The 22681-nt window shown below is 50.0% G+C and overlaps 3 annotated features.

Annotated features, from left to right (window-relative positions):
• Window positions 5768–6387: an enhancer, noted in NCBI's record as "H3K4me1 hESC enhancer chr7:73849734-73850353 (GRCh37/hg19 assembly coordinates)". NCBI's record gives its function as "activates a minimal SCP1, AML or CMV promoter by ChIP-STARR-seq in naive H9 embryonic stem cells {active_cell/tissue: H9 hESC(naive)}" and the evidence as "EXISTENCE:reporter gene assay evidence [ECO:0000049][PMID:30033119]".
• Window positions 7009–7629: an enhancer, noted in NCBI's record as "H3K27ac-H3K4me1 hESC enhancer chr7:73848492-73849112 (GRCh37/hg19 assembly coordinates)". NCBI's record gives its function as "activates a minimal SCP1, AML or CMV promoter by ChIP-STARR-seq in primed H9 embryonic stem cells {active_cell/tissue: H9 hESC(primed)}" and the evidence as "EXISTENCE:reporter gene assay evidence [ECO:0000049][PMID:30033119]".
• Window positions 11198–12171: an enhancer, noted in NCBI's record as "OCT4-NANOG-H3K27ac-H3K4me1 hESC enhancer chr7:73843950-73844923 (GRCh37/hg19 assembly coordinates)". NCBI's record gives its function as "activates a minimal SCP1, AML or CMV promoter by ChIP-STARR-seq in primed H9 embryonic stem cells {active_cell/tissue: H9 hESC(primed)}" and the evidence as "EXISTENCE:reporter gene assay evidence [ECO:0000049][PMID:30033119]".

Genomic DNA, 22681 nt, shown 5'->3' with positions numbered 1-22681 from the left:
CCCCTACCCTCCCAGGTGACCCTGGCCCTGAGGACTTAGCCCAACCTGGGGATCCTCCAGGAACTAGGAAGCTGGTCAGGACTACAGGGACCACCTCAGCTCCTCGCAGGGGTGGACAGACACTTAAGTGGTGTTTGTGTGGCTTAAAATGTTTTTTAGAGACAGAATCTCACTCCGTCACCCCAGCTGAAATGCAGTGGCGAAATCATAGATCACTGCAGCCTCAAACTCCTGGGCTCAAGTGATCTTCCCGCCTCAGCCTCCTGAGTAGCTTGTACTACAGGCATGCATCCCCACGCCTGGCTAATTTACAAATTTTTTTAGGGACAGGGTCTGGCTATGTTGCCCAGGCTGGTCTTGAAGTCCTGGCCTCAAGTGATCCTCTTGTCTCAGCCTCCCAAAGTGTTGAGATTACAGGCATGAGCCACTGCTTCCAATCCAAAAAATAAAATTTTTTGAGATAGGGTCTCAATTCGGGTACCTAGTGGAGTGTAGTGGTGCGATCACAGCTCACTGCAGCCTCAAACTCTCAGGCTTAAGCCATCCTCCCACCCCAATCTCCTGAGCAGCCAGGACCATATGCACACCACCATGACCAGCTTTTTGTATTTTTTGCAGAGATGGGGGTCTCACCATGTTGCCCAGGCTGGTCTTGAACTCCTGGCCTCAAGCAATCCTCCTGCCTTGGCCTCCCAAAATGCTGGGATTGCGGGCATAAGCCACCATGCCTGGTCAAAACAAAATTTTTTTTAAAGAGGCACAAGGCTCCCGTCTCTATGATCTGGAAGTTGTCCCCATAGCCCCGCTGTCCCTGAGCTGCCTGCCTCTCTCCACCAGCCCCTTGAGAGGTGCATGTGACAGAGAAGGCCTCTGCAGTGACATAACTAGAGTGTAGAAGGGGACTCCTGAGAAAAGGAAAAAGGAAAGTTTTGGGGGAGGGACCTTGGGAATGCCCAGGCAGTCATGGGACCAGAGGGTGCATCAAAGATGAAAGTGTTAATTTAGGCCAAGCGCGGTGGCTCATGCCTGTAATCCCAGCACTTTGGGAGGCCAAGGTGGGCAGATCACCTGAGGTCAGGAGCACGACCTGGCCCCTGCCCCAGACCCCTGTATCTTAAGTGGCCCAGGGGGAAAGCATTCCAGGAACCTGAGAGGACAGACATAGCGGATGTCTAGATCTCAGCCTGGGGACCTGCTGAGCCAGGGCTTAGGGGTTAGGCAGACTGTGCTCCAGGGTCAAACTGGAAGCTCAAGTGCAGATACACTCAGCTCACCAAGTCTCAGTGGAGTGGACCTGCCCCCACTGGTCAGCTCATCAGGCTTAGCACCCCACTACAGTATCTGCCTAGAGCAGGGCCTCTTTTCTCTCCTTCCTTCCTTCCTTCTTTCTTTCTTTCTCTTTCTTTCTTTCTTCTTTCTTCTTTCTTTCTTTCTTTTTCTTTCCTTCCTTCCTTCCTTCCTTTCTTTCTTTCCTTTCTTTTCTCTCTTTCTGTCTCTCTCTCTCTTTCTCTCTTTCTCTCTTTCTTTCCAGATGGGGTCTCGCTCTTTTGCCAGGCTGAATTGCAATGGCACAATCTCGGCTCACTGCAATCTCCGCCTCCCAGGTTTAAGCAATTCTCCTGCCTCAGCCTCCCAAGTAGCTGGGGCTATAGGTGCACGCCACCACACCCAGCTAATTTTTTGGAATTTTTAGTAAAAACGAGGTTTCACCATGTTGGCTAGGATGGTCTTGAACTCCTGACCTTGTGATCTGCCCGCCACAGCCTTCCAAAGTTCTGGGATTATAGGCATGAGCCACTGGGCCCAGCCGAGCAGGGCCACTTTCTAATTTGTTCAGAAGCTTGCCCTGGATCTCCAGTCCCCTGACTGCTGGGACCTCCTTAGAAGTGCTCCACAATTCTTTTGGACCTCTGGGTCTCCTGCTCAAGCTCCCTGAAAGCAACATTCAGCTCTGAGAAACAGTCTGTCTAGGTTTTCTCCATCTGAAGCCCTGTGGGACCTGGCGGTTCCTGTCACCTCTGATGACTGAAATTATCTCTCTCCAACTTCTCATACCGTTCCAGCTGGGTGCCCCCATGAGGGCAGAGCTCTGGTCTGTCTTGTTCTCTGATCTATGTCTCGCTTCTAAAACACTGCCTGAAGAAGCTCAATAGATTTTTCAATAGATTTTGAGACAGCTTTGCTCTGTTGCCCTGGGTGGAGGGCAGTGGCATAATCTCGGCTCACTGCAACCTCTGCCTCCTGGGTTCAAGCGATTCTCCTGCCTCAGCCTCCCAAGTAGCTGGGATTACAGGCGTGCACTACCAAGCTTGGCTAATTTTTGTATTTTTAGTAGAGACGGAGTTTCGCCATGTTGGCCAGGCTGGTCTCGAACTCCCGAACTCAAGAAATCCACCTGCCTCGGCCTCCCAGAGTGCTGGGATTACAAGCGTGAGCCACCACACCCAGCCAAGTTCAATAGATTTTTTTTTTTTTGAGACAGAGTTTTTGCCCAGGCTGGAGTGCAATGGCGTGATCTCAGCTCACTGCAACCTCTGCCTCCCGGGTTCAAGCAATTCTCCTGCCTCAGCCTCCCAAGTAGCTGGGATTACAGGCATGCGTCACCACACCCAGCTAATTTTGTATTTTTAGTAGAAACAGGGTTTCTCCATGTTGGTCAGGCTGGTCTCGAACTCCTGACCTCAGGTGATCTGCCTGCCTCGGCCTCCCAAAGTGCTGGAATTACAGGCGTGAGCCACCATGCCCGGCTCAATAGATTTTTATTGGTTAAATGAGGGGTGGTGTGTGGGCCTATCTACGGCCTTGCTATGATGTGAATGATGGTATCCCCTCCAGAATTCATGTTGAACATCTCCATTGTAGTGGTATTAGGAGGTGGGGCCTTTTGGGGTAAGTGATTGAGAGCTTTATCCTTGTGAACTCATGAGGGCTCTACCCTTGTGAATGAATTAGTGCCTTACAAAGGGGCTGGAAAGAACTAGTGTAGGCCCTTTATTGCCCGTCCAGCTCTTCTGCTATGTGAGGACATGGTGTTCAAGGCACCATCTTAGAAGAAAAGACTGGGGCCCTCCCCAGACACTAAACCTGCTGGTGCCTTAATCTTTGCATTCCCAGCTTGCAGACTATTAGAAATAAATTTCTATTATTTATATAGATTATCCAGTCTCAGGTATTTTATTATAGCAGCACAAACAGAGTGAGACAGGAATTGGTACCAGGAGTCGGGTGTTTGTATAACCAAAAACTAAAAATGTGAAAGCAGCTTTGAAACTGACTAATAGGTAGAGGCTGGTCTGTAAAGGGCTATTCTGGTGAAGGCTCAGAAGAAAAGGAAAGCTGCAGGGACAGCCTTAATGTTTTTAGAGATTACGTATGTGGTCATAATCAGAAGGTGGTAAAAATGTGGATGGTAAAGGCAATTCTGATGAGGTCTTAAACAGAAATGAGAAATATTTTATTGGAAACCAGAGAAAAGGTCATCCTTGTTACAAAATGGCAAAGAACTTAGCTGAATTTTGTTCATGTCCTACTACTTTGTGGAAAGTAGAATTTAAGAGTGATGAACTAATATATTTGTTGGAGGAAATCTCTGAGCAAAGTGTTCAGGGTGCTACATGGTTGCTCTTAACTGCTGATAGTAAAATGCAACAAGAGAGGGATTAACTAAAGACAGAATTTATAATAAAAAGGGAGGCAGAATAAAGATTTGAAAAATTCTCAGACTGGCCAGGTTGTAAAAGTGTGTTTAAGACAAAATACCCGGTGGCTCACGCCTGTAATCTCAGCACTTTGGGAGGCTGAGGCGGATGGATCATGAGGTCAGGAGTTTGAGACCAGCCTGACCAACATAGTGAAACCCCGTCTCTACCAAAAATAGAAAAATTAGCCAGGTGTGATGGTGTGCGCCTCTAATCCCAGCTACTCAGGAGGCCGAGGCAGGAGAAACGCTTGAACCCGGGAGGCAGAGGTTGCAGTGAGCTGAGATCACGCCATCACACTCCAGCCTGGATGACAGAGTGAGACTCCATCTCAAAAAAAAAAAAAAAAAAAAAAAAAAAAAAGGGAGAGAGAGAAAAAATACCAAGGGTAATAAGAAGATTAATAAGAGGCCGAGCACGGTGGCTCACACCTGTAATCCCAGCACTTTGGGAGGCCAAGGCAGGTGGATCACTTGAGCCCAGGAGTTTGAGACCAGCCTGGGCAACATGGCAAAACTCTGTCTCCACTAAAAATACAAAAATTAGCAGGGTGTGGTGGCTCATGCCTGTAATCCCAGCTACTCAGGAGGCTGAGGCACAAGAATTGCTTCAGCCTGGGAGGTGGAGGTTGCAGTGAGCCAAGATTGCACCACTACACTCCAGCCTAGGCAACAGAGTGAGACTCTGTCTCAAAAAAAAAAAAAATTATCCAGGTGTGGTGGCACACGCCTATAGTGCCACCTGCTCTGGAGGCTGAGCTGGGAGGATTGCTTGAGCCCAGGATTTCAAGACCAGCTTGGGCAACATGGTGTGACTTCACCTCTACCAAAAAAAAAAAATTTAGTTGGGCATGGTGGCATGTTCTTGTGGTCTCAGCCACTCGAGGCCAGGGGATTACTTAAGCCCAGGAGGCTGAGTCTGCAGTGAGCTATGCTAGCACCACTGCAATCCAGCCTGGGCGACAGAGCAGGAAAATTTAATGTTGTTTGCCCTGTTGGGTTTGGGACTTACTTAGGATCTATTATCCTTTCCTTCTTTCCTTATTCTATTTTTTTTTTCAATCCTTTCCTTCTTTCCTACTTCCCCCTTTCGGAATGGAAACATCTGTCCTGTACCTGGCCCACTGTTGTCTTTTGGAAGCACTTTACTTGTTTGATTTCATAGACTCAGCAGGAGGCATATTGATGCCTCAGGATGAAACACACCCTAGAGTCTTACCCATATCTGAGGTAGATAATATTTAGATGAGACTTTGGACTTGGACTTTAAAGTTGATGCTAGAATCAGTTAAGGCTTTTCAGGGCTACTGGGATAAAATGAGTAGTATGTTTGTTTGTTTGTTTTGTTTTGTTTTGAGACAAGGTCTTACTCTGTTGCCCAGGTTAAAGTGCAGTGGCGCAATTGTGGCTCACTGCAGCCTCGACTTCCTGGGCTTAGGTGATCCTCCCACCTTGGCCTCCCAAAGTGCTGGGATTACAGACGTGAGCCATTGTGCCTGGCTGGAATGAATGTATGTCATATGTGAACGTGAAAAGGACATGAGTTTTGGGGGCCCAGGAGCAGAATGCTATGATTTCAATGATGATGTCTCTTCCAAAATTCATGTTGAGACTTACTCATTGTGGTGGTGGTATTGAGAGGTGGGGTCTTTTTGGGAAGTAATTAGGTCATGAGAGCATGAGCCTACAGATTGGTGCCTTATAAAAGGGCTGGAGGGAACTAGCTTAGGACCCTTTGCCTTTCCACCTTCTGCCATGTGTGAGCAGAGTTCATCCCCCACGCAGGATGCAGCCAAAAGGTGCCATCTTGGAAGCAGAGACTAGGGCCCTCCCCAGGCAGTGAACCTGCTGGCTACTTGATCTTGGACTTCCCAGCCTCTAGAACCATGAGAAAATAAATTTCTGTTCTTTATAAATTCCCCAGTTTCAGGTATTTTGTCTTTTAAAATATTTTTTTATTTTGTGTTTTTATTTTTATGGGTTTTTTTTAATATAATTCTTTTTTTTTTTTTTGAGATGGGTGTCTCACTCTGTCACCCAGGCTGGTGTGCAGTGGCATGATCTCAGCTCACTGCAACCTCCCACTCCCGGGTTCAAGGGATCCTCCCACCTCAGCCTCCCAAGTAGCTGGGACTACAGGCATGCACCACCATGCCGGGATAATTTTTATATTTTGGTGGAGACAGGTTTCACCATGTTGCCCAGGCTGGTCTCAAACTCCCGGGTCCAAGGGATCTGCCATCTTGGCCTCCCAAAGTGCTGAGATTACAGGTGTGAGCCACTGTGCCCAGCCTCAGGTATTTTGTCACAGCAGCACAAACAGCCTGAACTCAGAGCGCTAGAGAGGCATGATCTTCCACGGGTCACTGGGGGCTGGTCCTGGAGATGCTGTTGGGCAGATATACATGTCAGCACCAGCCAGCACTCAGAGAACCCTGAGGGTCTTAGACAGTGGCCACCTCGGTAGGTGTCCTCCCTGCCTTCTTGTCTGCCCGGCAATGCTCTGTTCGCCTCTGCGGGCTCACCTCCCAGGTTACTGCCTCCAGGAAGGAGCCCCTGATCTCAGGCTGGTCAGGTGCCTGTCTGGGCCTCCCAAGCCCACAGTGCTTTGAAACCATCTGCCTTCCCACTGGACCATGAGGTTCTCCAGCAGGGGCCCTGTCTGAGGGCTCTCTGAGTCCCTGCACCCAGCATACGACCTGACCCAGAGTCTGAGGCTGCCAGGGCTTTGCTGGAACAAGTGGCTAAAGGCAGGAGCTGTGAGAGGCGGGTGAAGGGGCTGGGGGCTCAGGAGGGACACCAGGGCAGGGCTCTGACTCAGCTCCTGCTGTCTACTTGGGAGAAACAACCCAGAAGGCCCAGAGAGAGGTTGCTGTCCAGGAGCTGTCTCCACTGCCGGCTGGCTCAGCTTCCTCCCCGGAATAACTTAGTAAGAGTCAGTGTTCTCCCCGTCTCTAGTTAAACATTAAAAATTAGGCCACGTGCAGTGGCTCACACCTGTAATCCTAGCACTTTGGGAGGCCGAGGTAGGGGGATCACCTGAGGTCAGGAGTTCGAGACCAGCCTGGGCAACATGGTGAAACCCCATCTCTACTAAAAATCCAAAAATTAGCTGGGTGTGGTGGTGGGCACTTATAATTCCAGCCACTCGGGAGGCTGAGGCAGGAGAATTGCTTGAACCCGGGAGGCGGAGGTTGCGGTGAGCCAAGATTGAGTCACAGCACTCCCGCCTGGGTGACAAGCGTAAGACTCCGTCTCAAAACAAAAACAACAACAAAAAATTAGGCCCAACCCCTGGGAATACTTACCAGCCCCACTCACCTTCCTGGGCTGGCCTCTTGGAAGCCCCGGGGTTCTACAGGCTCAGGTTCCCAGCTGCCCTGGCCCTCACATGCTTGGTGTTACCCGGCTGGGCTCCCTAACTGGGCCACCACTGGGAAAGGTGCTGGGTTAGATGGAGTCACCCCTGTGTGTGACCCATTTCTGTGGACCCCACCTGCCCTGTGTACATCTGCATATATGATGCAGTCACAGCATTTTCTGCCTATCACCTTCTCTGCCCAAACCTCAGTTTCTTTATTCATTTGTTTATTTAGAGATAGGGTCTTACTCTGTTACCCAGGCTGGAGTAAAGTGGCTCGATCACAGCTTGCTGTAGCCTCCACCTCTTAGGCTCAAATGATCCTCCCACCTCAGCCTCCTGAGTGGCTGGGACTACAAGCATGTGCCCAGCCAATTTTATTTATTTATTTTTTGTAGAGATGGAGAGTCACTGGGTTGCCCAGGCTGGTCTCGAAATTCTGGGCTCAAGCGATCCTCTCGCAATGGCCTCCCAAAGTGCTGGGATTACAGACGTGAGCCCCGCACCCGGTCCTCAAACTTTCGTTTCCTATACTCAGGATGGGGATGGTTGTGCCATCTGGGGAGCGTCAGGTGGGCCAGCCACAAGGCCAGGAGAATGAGATTCCTCTGTAAAGAGGACAGAGCCCTTCCTCCTCAGCCAGCCTCAGCTCTGCCGCTCACACGTCTGGGCTCCCTGCTGCCCGGGATCCCAGCCTGCCGGAAATGTAGCAGAAAATTTGCCACCTCTTTACTACGAGCCCCAGGACAGGGTAGGTCTGGGGGCAGGAGGCCCCTCTTTATTCTAGTTTGCCAAGAACTGAATAAAGAAGAAAAAGAAAACCACCCGGCCGGGCGTGGTGGCTCATGCCTATTGTCCCAGCACTTTGGGAGGCCGAGGCAGAGGTCGAGTCGTGTGGATCACTTGAGGTCAGGAGTTTGAGACCAGCCTGGCCAACATGGCGAAACCCCATCTCTACTAAAAATACAAAAATTAGCGGCTGGGCATGGTGGCTCATGCCTGTAATCCCAGCACTTTGGGAGGCCGAGGTGGGTGGATCACAAGGTCAGGAGATCGAGACCATCCCAACTAACATGGTGAAACCCCGTCTCTACTAAAAATACAAAAAAATTAGCTGGGCGGGGTGGCAGGCGCCTGTAGTCCCAGCTACTTGAGAGGCTGAAGCAGGAGAATGGCTTGAACCTGGGAGGCAGAGCTTGCAGTGAGCCGAGATCGCGCCACTGTACCAGCCTGGGCAACAGAGCAAGACTCCGTCTCCAAAAAAAAAAAAAAAAAGAAAATTAGCCAGGCATGATGGCAGGTGCCCTGTAATCCCATCTACTCAGGAGGCTGAGGCAGGAGAAGCGCTTGAACCCGGGAGGCAGAGGTTGCAGTGAGCCGAGATTGTGCCATTGCACTCCAGCCTGGGTGACAGAGCAAGACTCTGTCTCAAAAAACAAAACAAAACAAAAACAAAAACAACAAGAAGAAAAAGAAAACCACTGAAGACATGCTTCTCTTTCCCTACCCCGAATGGTGCAGCTCCAGGGCCAGGGTTGGCTACATCACTGCAAGAGGAAAGTGTGGGGCACATTGTTCAAAAAGCAGGAAAAATGTGTCCTCGAAGGTGCTAAAATACAAAACTTCTTCCTTTCATCCTTGGGCTGACTCTCTCTTGACATCATGATTTTGAAAAAAATTGCTATTTGCCATTTAATGTCGTTCTTAATACAGAAACATTAAAATGCTAAATGATTAGTCTTTTACTATTTCATTCTTTACCATTTATCTTTATATCGTTCAATGCTGGCTTTAAATGTAGCTATAAGAGCATTTTACTCGTGAGCAGAATCGCCGAATCTACACAATTCATATTGTGCCTCATGTGCAAATAATGTGTTTCTTTCTTTTTTTTTTTTTTGGAGACAGAGTCTGGCTCTGTCACACAGGCTCCCTCTGCCTCCCAGGTTCAAGTGATTCTCCTGCCTCGGCCTCCTGAGTAGCTGGGACTACAAGCGTGTGCCTCCATGCCCAGCTAATTTTTGTATTTTTAGTAGAGACGGGGTTTCACCATGTTGGCCAGTCTGGTCTTGAACTCCTGACCTCAGGTGATCCACCTGCCTCAGCCTCCCAAAGGGCTGGGATTATAGGCTTGAGCCACCGTGCCCTGCTCAGTTTTATTTTTATTTTTTTAGAGACGGAGTCTCACTTTGTCGCCCAGGCTGGAGTGCAGTGGCATACTCTCAGCTCACTGTAACCTCTGCCTCCCAGGTTCAAGCAATTTTCGTGCCTCAGCCTCCCGAGTAGCTGGGATTACAGGTGTGCGCCACTACGCATGACTAATTTTTTTGTATGTTTAGTAGAGATGGGGGTTTCACATGGTGGCCAGGCTGGTCTCAAACTCCTGACCTCAGGTGATCCATCTGCCTCAGCCTCCCAAAGTGCTTGGATTACAGGCATGAGACACTGCGCCCGGCCAAGTTCTGGTTTGAATAGAAACTTAGGGCCTTCAGGCCAATCACAGTGGCTCATGCCTGTAATCCCAGCACTTTGAGAGGCTGAGGTGGGAGGGTCGCTTCAGGCCAGGAGTTTGAGACCAGCCTTGGCACCATAGAGAGACCCCATCTGTACAAAATATACAAAAAATTAGCTGAGTGTGGTGGCATGTGCCTGTAGAACCAGCTGCTCAGGAGGCTGAGATTCGAGGATCACTTGAGCCCAGGAGTTCAAGTCTGCAGTGAGCCATGATCGCGCCACTGCTCTCCAGCCTAGGTGACAGAGCAAGACCGTATCTCAATAATAATAATAATAAATAAATAAATAAAAATTAAAAGTAAGGTCTTCAAGGCTGTCAATGGCCTCTTTTTTTTTTCAGTTTGTTTTTTTGAGACAGAGTCTCACCCTGTAGTGCAGTGGCACGATCTCAGCTTACTGCAACCTCCACCTCCTGGATTCAAGCAATTCTTGTGCCTCAGGCTCCCAAGTAGCTGGGATTATAGGTGCGCACCACCACCCCTGGCTAATTTTTGTATTTTTAGTAGAGAAGGGGTTTCGTCATGTTGGCCAGGCTGGTTTTGAACTCCTGACCTCAAGTGATCCCCCACCTTGGCCTCCCAAGGTGCTGGCATTACAGGCATGGATGGCCTCTTGATAGAACGTGTTTACTTAATACCTGTTTTGAGTCACAGGCCCAAGCTTCTGCATTAGGAGCCTGTTTGCTGTCCCTCTCCTCTTCCTGCCTGGAAATCAAGCGGCTGCCCCACTCCTGCTACTTATAAGCTGTGCCACCTCGGGTGGCCACCTCCCCTCTCAGAGCCTCAGTTCCCCGGAGTGATAGCAGTGGTTGCTGAGGGCTGCCTGACCCCCTTGTGAGCTTGCCGTCTGTCAGGCCACAGAAGCAGAGTCCTCTCCCCTCCGCCACTTTGCCACACTTGGGGACGTTTAGGGAACTATGGGTGCTCAGGGTCCTGTAGGTGGCACTGGCCCTGGCCCTGGGGCAGCCCGGCCCCCTTTCTGGGGTGGGGTGATGGCTTGAATCCCAAAGTGTATTTTTTTTTCCTACCCAGCTGGAGTTTCCGCTGACACAGCCGTGTTTTCAGCGCTGGCATTGTGCTTGTATTTAGGTCAGGCCTATTTTAATGCCGCTGGGGACTTGTGCCGGGCTGAGACCGCCTTCCAGGGTTGACACAGAGGAGTGCTGGGCTGCTGAGGGTTTGGAGAGGATGGATGGATGAAGGGAGGAGGGAGGCAGGTGAGGAGGGAGACAGGAAGTGGCAGGTGGCCTTGACCCCCAAATCCTGGCCTATCTGGGGCCCCTACACCCTCTCCCTTTCTATTTTCTTTCTTTTTTTTTTTTTGAGACAGAATCTCAGTCTGTCACCCAGGCTGGAGCGCAGTGGCGCAATCTCGGCTCACTGCAACCTCCTCCTCCCGGGTCCACACGATTCTCCTGCTTCAGCCTCCCGAGTAGCTGGGATTACAAGCGCCCACCACTATGCCTGGCTAATTTTTTTTTTTTTTTTGTATTTTTAGTAGAGATGAGGTTTTACCACATCAGCCAGGCTGGTCTCAAACTCCTGACCTCAGGTGATTCACCCGCCTCGGCTTCCCAAAGTGCTGGGATTTCAGGCGTGGGCCATCACACCCGGCCACACCCCTCCCTTTCTGGCAAGGATCCCCACCCCAACATATACACACTTAGTCTGGTGGGAGGAGAGTCCTACACTGGGCCTCAGGGGACATGGTCGACATTCCTCCAATGTGTGATTTTGCAAGTGATGCTCTCTCCTGCCTCGGTTTCCCCATTTGTCCAAGGAAGGGTTGCTTTGATGACGCAGCCCAGCTCCTCTGGGACTTTGAGAGCACAGGCTGCCAGGCATGGTGGCTCACACCTGTAATCCCAGCACTTTGGGAGGCTTCTGAAGCGGGAGGACTGCTTGAGGCCAGGAGTTTGAGACCACCCTGCACCACATAGCGAGACCCCATCTCTACTAAGAAATTAGCTGGGCATGGCCGGGCATAGTGGCTCATGCCTGTAATCCCAGCAATTTGGGAGGCCAAGGTGGGCAGATCACCTGAGGTAAGGAGTTCGAGACCAGCCTGCTCAATATGGCATCACCCTGTCTCCACTAAAAATACAAAAAATTAGCAGGGCATGGTGGTGGGTGCCTGTAATCCCAGCTACTCGGAAGGCTGAGGCAGGAGAATCACTTGAACCCAGGAGGTGGAGGTTGCAGTGAGCCAAGATCGTACCAGTGCACTCCAGCCTGGGCAACAAGAGTGAAATTCCATCTCAAAAAAAAAAAATTAGCCAGGCGTGATGGCATGTCGTTGTAGTCCCAGCTACTCGGGAGGTGGAGGCAGGAGAATCGCTTGAGCCCAGGAGTTCGAGGCTGTAGTGAGCTGTGATTGTGCCACTGCACTCCAGCCTGGGTGACAGAGCAAGATCCTGTCCTAAAAAATAAATAAATAAATATAACAAAAATAAAAAGAGCCCAGGCTGGTATCCCAGCACTGCCCCTTGCCAGCTGTGTGACCCCATCAAATTACAAAACCTCTCTGTACCCTAATGCCCTTAGCTGCAAAATGGGGATAAAAATAGAATCCATTTCACAAGGCTTTCGGGAGTGAGATGACATCAGGCATGTAGCAATGGTATGTGGCCCCCTGCTTGGAACTCGGGAAGTGCTGGTTGAGAAGCATTTAGTGGCATCGGTGTTATTTTCATCACAATTCGTCCTCCCCAAGGTGCCCCGCGCCTGCCCAGCCCGTGCTCAGCCCAGGGCCCAGAGCCGAGGAGCCCGGGTGCTCATTGATATTCTGGCCACCAGCATCCTTACCGGGCCTGAGTAAACCTAACCCGCGTCTATCGCCAGATCTGGTAATTAATACCCTTGACGGTTTTTATTGGAATGAAGCAGGATCTGTGCATGACTTGGTTTTTAATTAATAACCAGCCTCCCTCCACACGTCCCTCCCGTCCCCCAAGTGCCCTTGAGGACAGGATGAGGTGTGGGCAGGGGCGGGGGGGCAAGTCACCAGGGCCTGGTTCAGTTGTCTCTGAAGGGGAGGTGCAGGGCAGGGCACAGGGAGGCAGCCCTGGGGTCATTTGCCATCAGATGCCCCAGACATTGGGCAGGATGGAGGAGCTGGTTCTCAGCTGGGCTAGGTCCAGTGATGTTCTGAACACAGCTTCTGACCTCAGGGAACACGTAGTCTAAGACATCCAAACCCACAGACACCTAAATCCCAAGAGCATGTGCTACAGGAGAAGCCTCTGGAAGGTGCTGGAGAAACAGCAAACCCAGGGCAGGCGCAGTGGCTCACATCTGTAATCCCCACATCTTGGGAGGCCGAGGTGGGTGAATCACTTGAGGTCGGGTGTTCGACACCAGCTTGGCCAACATGGTGAAAACCTGTTTCTACTAAAAATACAAAATATATATGTATATAAAATAAAAAATAATTAGCTGGGCATGGTGGTGCATGCCTGTGATCCCAGCTACTCGGCAGGCTGAGGCAGGAGAGTCACTTGAACCCGGGAGGCAGAAGTTGCAGTGAGCCGAGATAGCGCCACTGCACTCTAGCCTGGGTGACAGAGTGAGACTCTGTCTCAAAATAAATAAATAAATAAATATATATATATATATATATATATATATATATATATATAAATTAGCCAGGTATGGTGGTGCATGCCTGTAATTCCAGCCACTTGGGAGGCTGAGGCAGGAGAATTGCTTGAACCCGGGAGGTGGAGGTTGCAGTGAGCCAAGACTGCACCACTGCACTCCAGACTGGGTGACAGAGCGAGACTCCATCTAAAAAACAACAGAAAAAAAAAAAAAAAACCAAAGCCAGGCAACCAGCTTGGCCTGGAGACATCAGAAAGTGCCTTTGAGCCGGGGCTTGAAAGATGATGTCGCTGTTCTGGTGACAAAGAGGAGCTGATGTTCTAGGCGGCAGGAATGGCCTGTGCTAAGGCTCAGAGTCAGGGTGAGGCTGGGGGATCCGAAGGGAGGTGCTGGCAGATGGAGCTCCTGGTAACAGTGAGATGTGGTAGGAGATGAGACTAAGAGACCCAGCAGGACAGGCCTTAAGTGCAGGACTAAGAGGCCTGGCTTTATCCTGAGGGCAATGGGGAGCCTTAGCAGGTTATATACAGAGTATTGACATGGTCATATCTGATTAAAAAAATGTTTTAAATATTTTTATATGAGACAGGGCCTTGTTCTGTCACCCGGGCTGGATGCAGTGGTGTGATCTCAGCTCATTGAAGCCTCCACCTCCTAGGCTCAAGTGATCCTCTGGCCTCAGACTCCCGAGTAGCTGAGAATACACATACTTACTACCACACCCGGCTAATTGTTGTATTTTATTTTGTAGAGACCGGGGGTCTCTGTTGCCCAGGCTGGTCTTGAATTCCTGGGCTCAAGTGATCCTCCCGAAGTGCTGGGATTACAGGTGTCAGCTACCAATCTGATTGTTAGATTTGTTGCTTGGGTGTCCACAATGTGAAAGGGCCGTACCGCAGGAACTAGAGCGGGCAGGAGTGCAGTGGGGGTCACAGACTGTTAGAGCCAGGGTCCATGCTCAGGCTGCAAGGCCTGATGACCCTTCAGGGGCCCAGGAGCCTGGACCTCATAGGACAAAGGGCCTGGCATCCTCTCTCCAATCCCAAACTTAACTCCTTCCTCTAGACATTTTTTTTTTTGAGACAGAGTCTCGCTCTGTTGCCCAGGCTGGAGTACAGTGGCACAATCTCAGCTCACCGCAACCTCTGCCTCCCGGATTCAAGTGATTCTCCCGCCTCAGCCTCCTGAGTAGCCTCCTGAATAGCTGGGATTACAGGCACGCACCACCACGCCCAGCTAATTTTTAGGAGGGACAGGGTTTTGCCCAGGCTGGTCTCGAACTCCCAGGTTCAAGCGATCCACCCACCTCTGTCTCCCAAAGTGCTGCGATTACAGGCGTGAGCCACCGCGCCCAGCCCCTCTTGCTATTTTTAACGTAGCCACCTTGTTGAGGTCCAAATGAGCATTTCCAATCCAGGCTCCTTTGCATAATTTCCCTCAATTAACATTTCTGAGGTGCCAAAGAAGACAGCAACCCCCACCTCCCCAGGTTGGGACCCCCCCACCTCCCCGCCACCAACCCTGGGAGAAACCCAGCTTCTCAGGAGAAGGGCACACTCCCTTCGTTCCGGAGGCTCAGTCGCAGGCACAGCTTGTGGAGCCTGATTGAGCCCAGGAAAATTGCTTGAACCCGGGAGGTGGAGGGTGCAGTGAGCTGAGATCTCGCCACTGCACTCCCACCTGGGCAAAAGAGCAAGACTCTGTCTCAAAAAAGAAAAAAAAAAACAAAAACAGCAAAGCCAGAAGCAACCAGCTTGGCCTGGAGGCACCAGAAAGGGCCTTTGAGCCAGGGCTTGAAAGATGATGTAAAGCCAGGCGCGGTGGCTCACGCCTGTAATCCCAGCACTTTGGGAGACTGAGGTGGGTGGATCACGAGGTCAGGAGTTCGAGACCAGCCTGGCCAATATGGCGAAACCCCATCTCTACTATAAATACAAAAAAAATTAGCCAGGCGTGGTGGTGCGTGCCTGTAGTCCCAGCTACTCAGGAGGCTGAGGCAGGAGAATTGCTTGAACCTGGGAGGCAGAGGTTGCAGTGAGCCTAGATTGCGCCACTGTACTCTAGCCGGGGCAACAGAGTGAGACACTGTCTCAAAAAAAAAAAAAAGAAAGTTGATGTAGCTGTCCCGGTGACCTTTGCCTCTCTGGGCCTCCGTTTCCCTATCAGTGAATTAAGGGGGCTGGGTGGTGTGATCACTACAGAGCTTTGCTCACTTCTGGCTCAGAAACCACACATGATCTCCTTAGCCCCACAACAAATGTGTAAGGGTAAAGTGCATGATGAGCACATTTAACAGATGAGGACATGGAGACTCAGAGAAGGGGAGACATTTGCCCAAGGCCATTCAGGGCTTCAGTGCTGGAATTAGACCTGGTCCCTGTATCTCACACAGCAGGATCATGTAGGCTTTACGAGCTCCTGGAGTATTTGGGGAAAGCAGATCCTCACGGGAGTACAAGAAGAGGAAAAGTGGGGCAAGCCAGGGCCATGGTCCCTGAGGGCTGGGGCCACCAGGAAACATTTCCATTCTGTTCTCCAGATGTCAGCCTCAACCTGCCTCCTCCAGGAAGTCATCCTAGATTTCTTGCTTCTCTGAGCTACTTCCTCCCTTCCTGTCTCCATTGACCACATGACTTGAGCCTCTCAGATGGTTCCCTTCTCCTAGGAAGCTCCCATCTCCCTCCCTGGACTGTGGCTTCATCAAGAGTTAGTATGGAGGCTGGGCGCAGTGGCTCACGCCTGTAATCCCAGCACTTTGGGAAGCCAAGGTGGGAGGATTGCTTGAGCCCAGGAGTTCCAGACCAGCCTGGGCAACATAGCGAGACCCTCATCTCAATTAAAAGAAAAAAAAAAAAAGAAGTTGCCGGGCACGGCAGCTCACTCCTGTAATCCCAGCACTTTGGGAGGCCGAGGCGGGTAGATCGCTTGAGGTCAGGAGTTCGCGACCAGCCTGGCCAACATGGTGAAACCCCGTCTCTACAAAAAAAATCAGCTGGGCATGGTGATGCATGCCTGTAATCTCAGCTACTCGGGAGGCTGAGGCACAAGAATTGCTTGAACTTGAGAGGTGGAGTTTGCAGTGAGCTGAGATCGAGCCACTGCACTCCAGCCTGGGTGACAAAGTGAGACTCCGTTTCAAGAAAAAAAACAAAAAAGAGTTAGGATGGACTTCCTTCCTTCCTTCCTTCCTTCCTTTCCTCCCTTCCTTCCTTCTTCCTCCCTCCCTCCTTCCCTCTTTCCCTCCCTCCCTCTTTTTTTTCTTCTCTCTCTCTCTTTTTCTTGACAAAGTCTTGCTCTGTCACCCAGGCTGTAGTGCAGTGGTGCAATCTCAGCTCACTGCAGCCTCGACCTCCTAGGTTCAAGTGATCCTCCCACCTCGGCCTCCCAAGTAGCTGGGACTAGTGGTGGACATCACCATGCACACCTAATTTTTTATTTTTTGTAGATACGGGTCTCACTATGTTGCCCAGGCTGGTCTCAAACTCCAGGCCTCAAGTGATCCTCTCACTTTGGCCTCCCAAAGTGCTTGGATGACAGGTTTAAGCCATTGCACCCAGCCATGTCCCTTTCTTTCTCAGCCCCTGTGCCTCCTAGTCCCATATGTGGCCTGGCACAGAGCTGGGCAAACAGGACTGGCTGTCCCTGAATACCTGCATTTCCTTTTTTAAAAAAATTATTATTATCATTATTATTATTTAGATACAGGGTCTTGCTATGTTGCCCAGGCTGGTGTCAAACTCCTGAACTCAAGCGATCCTCCCATCTCAGCCTCCCAAAGTGCTGGGATTACAGATTATAGGGGGACCTTAATAACTCCACATGTGCTGGACACAGGCATGATGCCTGGCCAGTGGGCGCTGACACAGGTCACCTTTCCTCAGCAGGGCTGGGCACTCCCAGAGGGCAGGGACTGTGTTGTCTTCCCTATGTGACCCACGACTCCTTCCCCGGGAGTTCCCTGTGTGGGGCTGAAGTGACTGTTGGTGCTCCATAAGGCACCTGGGGATCTGAAGTCACTTTGCTTCTGAGGTCCATGTCTCCGCTAGCATCACATAGAGCACCTGCTTCGGGCAGGGCACAGTGGCAGACCCTGGGCACAGAGGAAACAGATCTGTTCTCTCGGAGGGAGTCTGGCTGAATGCCGGGGGAACCTCAACCACTGGGGGGTGGAGTTGCCAACCAAACACATCCCAGCTACAAGCCTGAGGCATCCCGTCCCCAGCCTCATGGAGGATTCCCAGCCAGACCCATCCCCAGCTGCCCCCAAAGTTCACCTGCTCATAAACGCACTCTTTATGATTGTTTGTTTTTGTTTTTTTTGAGACAGAGTCTCACTCTGTCGGCCAGGCTGGAGTGCAGTGGCACAGTCTAGGCTCACTGCAACCTCCGTCTCCCTGGTTCAAGTAATTCTCCTGCCTCAGCCTCCTGAGTAGCTGGGATTACAGGCACCCACCACCATGCCCAGCTAATTTTTGTATTTTCAGTAGAGATGGGATTTCACCATGTTAGCCAGGCTGGTCTCAAACTCCTGACCTCAGGTGATCCAACTGCCTCGGCCCTCCCAAAGTGCTGGGATTACAGGCACGAGCCACCATGCCCAGCCCATAAACCCCACTCTTTATTTTTATTTATTATTATTATTATTATTTTTGAGATGGAGTCTTGCTCTGTCGCCCAGGCTTGGCACGATCTCGGCTCACAGCAGCCTCTGCCTCCCGGGTTCAAGCGATTCTCCTGCCTCAGCCTCCCAAGTAGCTGGGATTACAGGCATGCACCATTAGGCCCGGCTAATTTTTTGTATTTGTAGTAGAGATGGGGTTTCACCATGTTGACCAGGCTGGTCTCAAATTCCTGACCTCAGACGATCTGCCCACATTGGCCTCCCAATGTACTGGGATTACAGGCATGAGCCACTGTGCCCAGCCTTTATTTTTTTTTAATTTTTATTTATTACTATTACTATTTTTTGAGACAGGGTCTCACTCTGCCACCCGGGCTGGAGTGCAGTGGCGTGATCACAGCTCACTGTAGCCTCAACCTCCCAGGCTGAGGCGATCCTCCTGTCTCAGCCTCCTGAGTGGCTGGGACCACAGGTGTGAGCCACCACACCCAGGTAATTTTTAAAATTTTTAATAGAGATGGGTTCTCACTGTGTTGCCCAGGCTGGTCTTGAACTCCTGAGCTCAAACGAATTCTCCCGCCTCGGCCTCCCAAAGTGCAGGGATTACAGGTGTGAGCCACCGTGCTTGGTCATAAATGCCCCCTTTAGTGGCTTCTTCCCCATCCCACTCCTCACAGGTGTCCTGGGATCACCTCCCAAACCACGGCACCCAAATTCTCTGGCTCTGCTTTTGGGGAATCCAAACCAAGATGGCAGAATTTCCTATTTCTCTGAGAACAGCAAACTTGAACGGGGTTTTGGAGAGGTGGATTCGTCACAGTTTGCCACGGAATGTCACACTTCTCCTTGAATAGGGAGCCGAGTGGCTGCTCTGAGCCACTCAACACACTGCCCAGTCCTTCTCTCCCTTTACCTCTGCCCTTTCTTCTCCAAAGCCCTCCCTCAGCCAGCTGCAGTGGCTCATGCCTCTAATCCCAGCTACTCGGGAGGCTGAGGTGGGAAGATTGCCTGGGGCCAGGCATTTGAGACCAGCCTGGACAACAGAACAAGACCCCATATCTACAGGAAGTTAAAAAATTATAAGGCCGGGCGTGGTGGCTCACACCTGTAATGCCAGCACTTTGGGAGGCTGAGGTGGGTGGATCACGAGGTCAAGAGATCAAGACCGTCCTAGCCAACATGGTGAAACCCTGTCTCTACTAAAAATGTGAAAATTAGATGGGCGTGGTGGCGTGCACCTGTAGTCCCAGCTACTCGGGAGGCTGAGGCAGAAGAGTCGCTTGAACCTGAGAGTCGGAGGTCGCAGTGAGCCAAGACTGCGCCACTGCACTCCAGCCTGACAACAGAGCCCACCTTGGCCTGTTATACATATAACTTTTTTTTTCATAGAGACCAGGGTCTTGCTATGTCTCCCAGGCTGGCTTTGAACTCCTGGGCTCAAACAATCCTCCCACCTCAGCCTCCCAAAACACTGGGATTACAGGCATGAGCCACAGCACCTGGCCAAAAAATTTAAAAATTAGCTGTGTGTGGTGGTGTGTGCTTGTAGTCCCAGCTACTCAAGAGGCTGAGGCAGGAGGATCGCTTAAGCCCGGGAGGTCGAGGCTGCAGAGTGATGATTACACCACAGTACTCAAGCCTGGCGACAGAGTGAGAGCCTGTCTCTAAAAAAAAACAAAAACAACAACAACAACACACAAACAGGGGTGGCCACATAGAGTTTTGTGAGGATTGAATGAATGCCTGGAAGATTAAAAAGTAATCACTGAGAAAAAAAAGGACTTTCAGGCTCAGGATATGAAAGAGCCAGGCCAAGCATGGTGGCTCACGGCTGTAATCCCAGCACTTTGGGAGGCCAAGGAGGGCGGATCACTTGAGGTCAGGAGTTGGAGCCCAGCCTGGCCAACATGGTGAAACCCCACCTCTACTAACAATACAAAAATCAGCTGGGCGTGGTGGCGCATGCCTGTATTCTCAGCTATGTGGGAGGCTGAGGCAGGAGAATTGCTTGAACCCAGGAGGCAGAGGTTGCAGTGAGCCAAGATCACTCCACTGCACTCCAGCATGGGCGATGGAGTGAGACTGTGTCTCAAAAAAAAAAAAAAAAAAAAAGCCAGCAAAGATTTAAAATCAAGAGTTTTCTTTATAATCATGAAAAATAGTTCAGATAAAAGAAATTAAAAGACTAGCAGCACCAATAAGATGAATACCTTATAAATGAGAGGGCTAATGTGTATTACAAAGTTAAAATCAGCAAATACAAAATTAAAATGAAAAGCTATGAAGTTGGTCTTAAAAGTTACTCTCCACAAGAGATAAAAGTTAAGAGGTTTAAAATAATGATAAAGTGACAAAATAAATGTGATTTAAGAAGATAGATGATCAATGCCTCAGGTCTGGGATTAAAAGATTAAAAATACAAACATTAAAGACGTAAGTCTGAGAAGATGGAGATGACCACCCAGGAGACAGAGAGACGGTGCAGAGAAGGGGACCGCAGATGAAGAACTGGCATTAGGGAGAAAGAATATCTTGTTTCTTTTCTTTTCTTCTTTTTTCTTTAAGAAGATACTGGGGGTCAGGCAGGGCGTGATGGCTCGTGCCTGTAATCCCAGCACTTTGGGAGGCCGAGACAGGGGGATCACGAGGTCAAGGGATTGAGACCATCTTGGCCAACATGGTGAAACCCTGTCTCTACTAAAAATACAAAAAAATTAGCTGGGTGTGGTGGCGCACACCTGTAGTCCCAGCTACTCAGGAGGCTGAGGCAGGAGAATCAGTTGATCTCAGGAGGCAGAGGTTGCAGTGAGCCGAGGGCCAAGGTCACGCCACTGCACTCCAGCCTGGCGACAGAGCAAGACTCTGTCCAAAAAATCCCCAAAAAGATACAGTGTCTCACTATGTTGCCCAGACTGATCTCCAGCTCCTGGGCTCAAGTGAGCCTCCTGCTTCAGCCTCCCAGAGTGCTAGGATTACAGGCATGAGCCACCGCACCTGGCCCATATTTATTTTCTGAACAAGAGATAAACTTTCAAGTAAAGAGGACTGAAATAAAAGAAAGAAAGAAGGAAGGAAAGAAAGAACAAACGAAAGAAAGAAAGAAAGAAAGAAAGAAAGAAAGAAAGAAAGAAAGAAAGAAAGAAAAACAGCTTTATTTATTTATTTATTATTTATTTATTTGAGACAGGGTCTCGCTCTGTCATCCAGGCTGGAGGGCAGTGGCATGATCATGGCTCACTGCAGCCTCGGCCTCCTGGACTCAGGTGATCCTCCCACGTCAGCCTCCCCAGTAGCTGGGATTACAGACATGTGCCGCCATGCCTGGGGTTTCACCATGTTGCCCAGGCTGGTCTCGAACTCCTAAGCTCAAGCAATCCTCCCGCCTCGACCTCCCAAAGTGCCAGATTACAGGTGTGAGCCACCATGTCCAGTACAGAAAAGTTGTTTTAAAGAAAACAATTCTGGGTGGATCACCTGAGGTTAGGAGTTGAGACCAGCCTAACCAACATGGTGAAACCCTGACTCTACTAAAAATACAAAATTAGCTGGGCGTGGTGGCGCATGCCTGTAATCCCAGCTACTTGGGAGGCTGAGGCAGGAGAATCGCTTGAACACGGGAAGCAGAGGTTGCAGTGAACAGAGATTGCGCCACTGCACTCCAGCTTGGGTGACAGAGCGGGACTCCACTTCAAAATAAAGAAGGAAAAAGAAAGAAAGAAAAAGAGATAAAGGAAGGGAGGAAAGAGAAAGAAAGAAAGAGAGAGAAAGAGAGAAAGAAAGAGAAAGAAGAAAGAGAAAGAAAGAAGGAAGGAAAGAAAAAGAAAGAAAAAAGAAAGAAAGAAAGGAAAGAAAGAAAAAGAAAGAAAGAAGGAAAGAAAGAAAGTGGGTGGGCAGAAAGGAAGGAGGCAGGGAGGGAGGAGGGAAGGAAGAAGAGAAGGAGGGAGGGAGGGAAGGAGGGAGGGAGGGAAGGAGGGAGGGAGGGAAGGAAGGAAGGAAATCAATTAATTAATAGAGTTACTAAAAAATATTGAATAAATAAATGAAGAAAACTATAGCCAAAAGCTTGAACATTTCGGATCAAGATGGTCAAATAAACTCAAATTACAAAAAAAAAAAAAAAAAAACAAAAATGAGGACAATTAGATGACTTGGAAAGGGTACAGAAAGAGGACAGTTTGTCAGGATGCGGGGGCAACCTGGCAGTGTCTGGAGCTCTGGGAGAGCAGTTGAGGTGGAGTGCAAGATTGAAGATGGAAGTTTGTGCAGTGGTGGAATTGATCAATCCGTCTGACAGCCACTCGTGGGCACCTGTGTGCCACGCCCTGGGCTGAGAGTCAGAGATGTGGGGGTGGCAGTGGTGGCTCATGCCTGTAATCCCAGCAATCTAGGAGGCTGAGACAGGCCAATCGTTTGAGCCCAAGAGTTCGAGACCAGCCTGGGCAACATGGCAAAACCCCATCTCTCTAAAAATACAAACAATTAGCTGGGCATGGTGGTGCACACCTGTAGTCCCAGCTACTTGGAAGGCTGAGGCAGGAGGACGGCTTGAGCCCAGAGATGAAGGCTGCAGTGAGCTGATTGCACCACTGCACTCCAGCCTGGGCAACAGAGTGAGACTCTGTCACACACACACAAGGAAAAAAACACACAAAAATTTCAGTTAGGAGGACTAAGTTCAAGAGATCCAAGTACAACATGGTGGCTATCCTTGATAACAATGTGTTCTAAACTTGCAAAGTACCAAGACAGTGGATTTTAAGCGTTCTCAGCACACTCCCCACAAAAAGACAAATGAGGTAATGCATATGCTAATTAGCTTGATGTAGCTGGTCCACACTTTATACATATTTCAAAACATCATATTGCACACCATAAATAGATACAATTTT

The sequence above is a fragment of the Homo sapiens genome, chromosome 7 (assembly GCF_000001405.40).
Source record: "Homo sapiens chromosome 7, GRCh38.p14 Primary Assembly".
NCBI lineage: Eukaryota > Metazoa > Chordata > Mammalia > Primates > Hominidae > Homo > Homo sapiens.
Note: the sequence above shows the minus strand (reverse complement) of the source record. Positions and strands in the feature narration are given on the sequence as shown.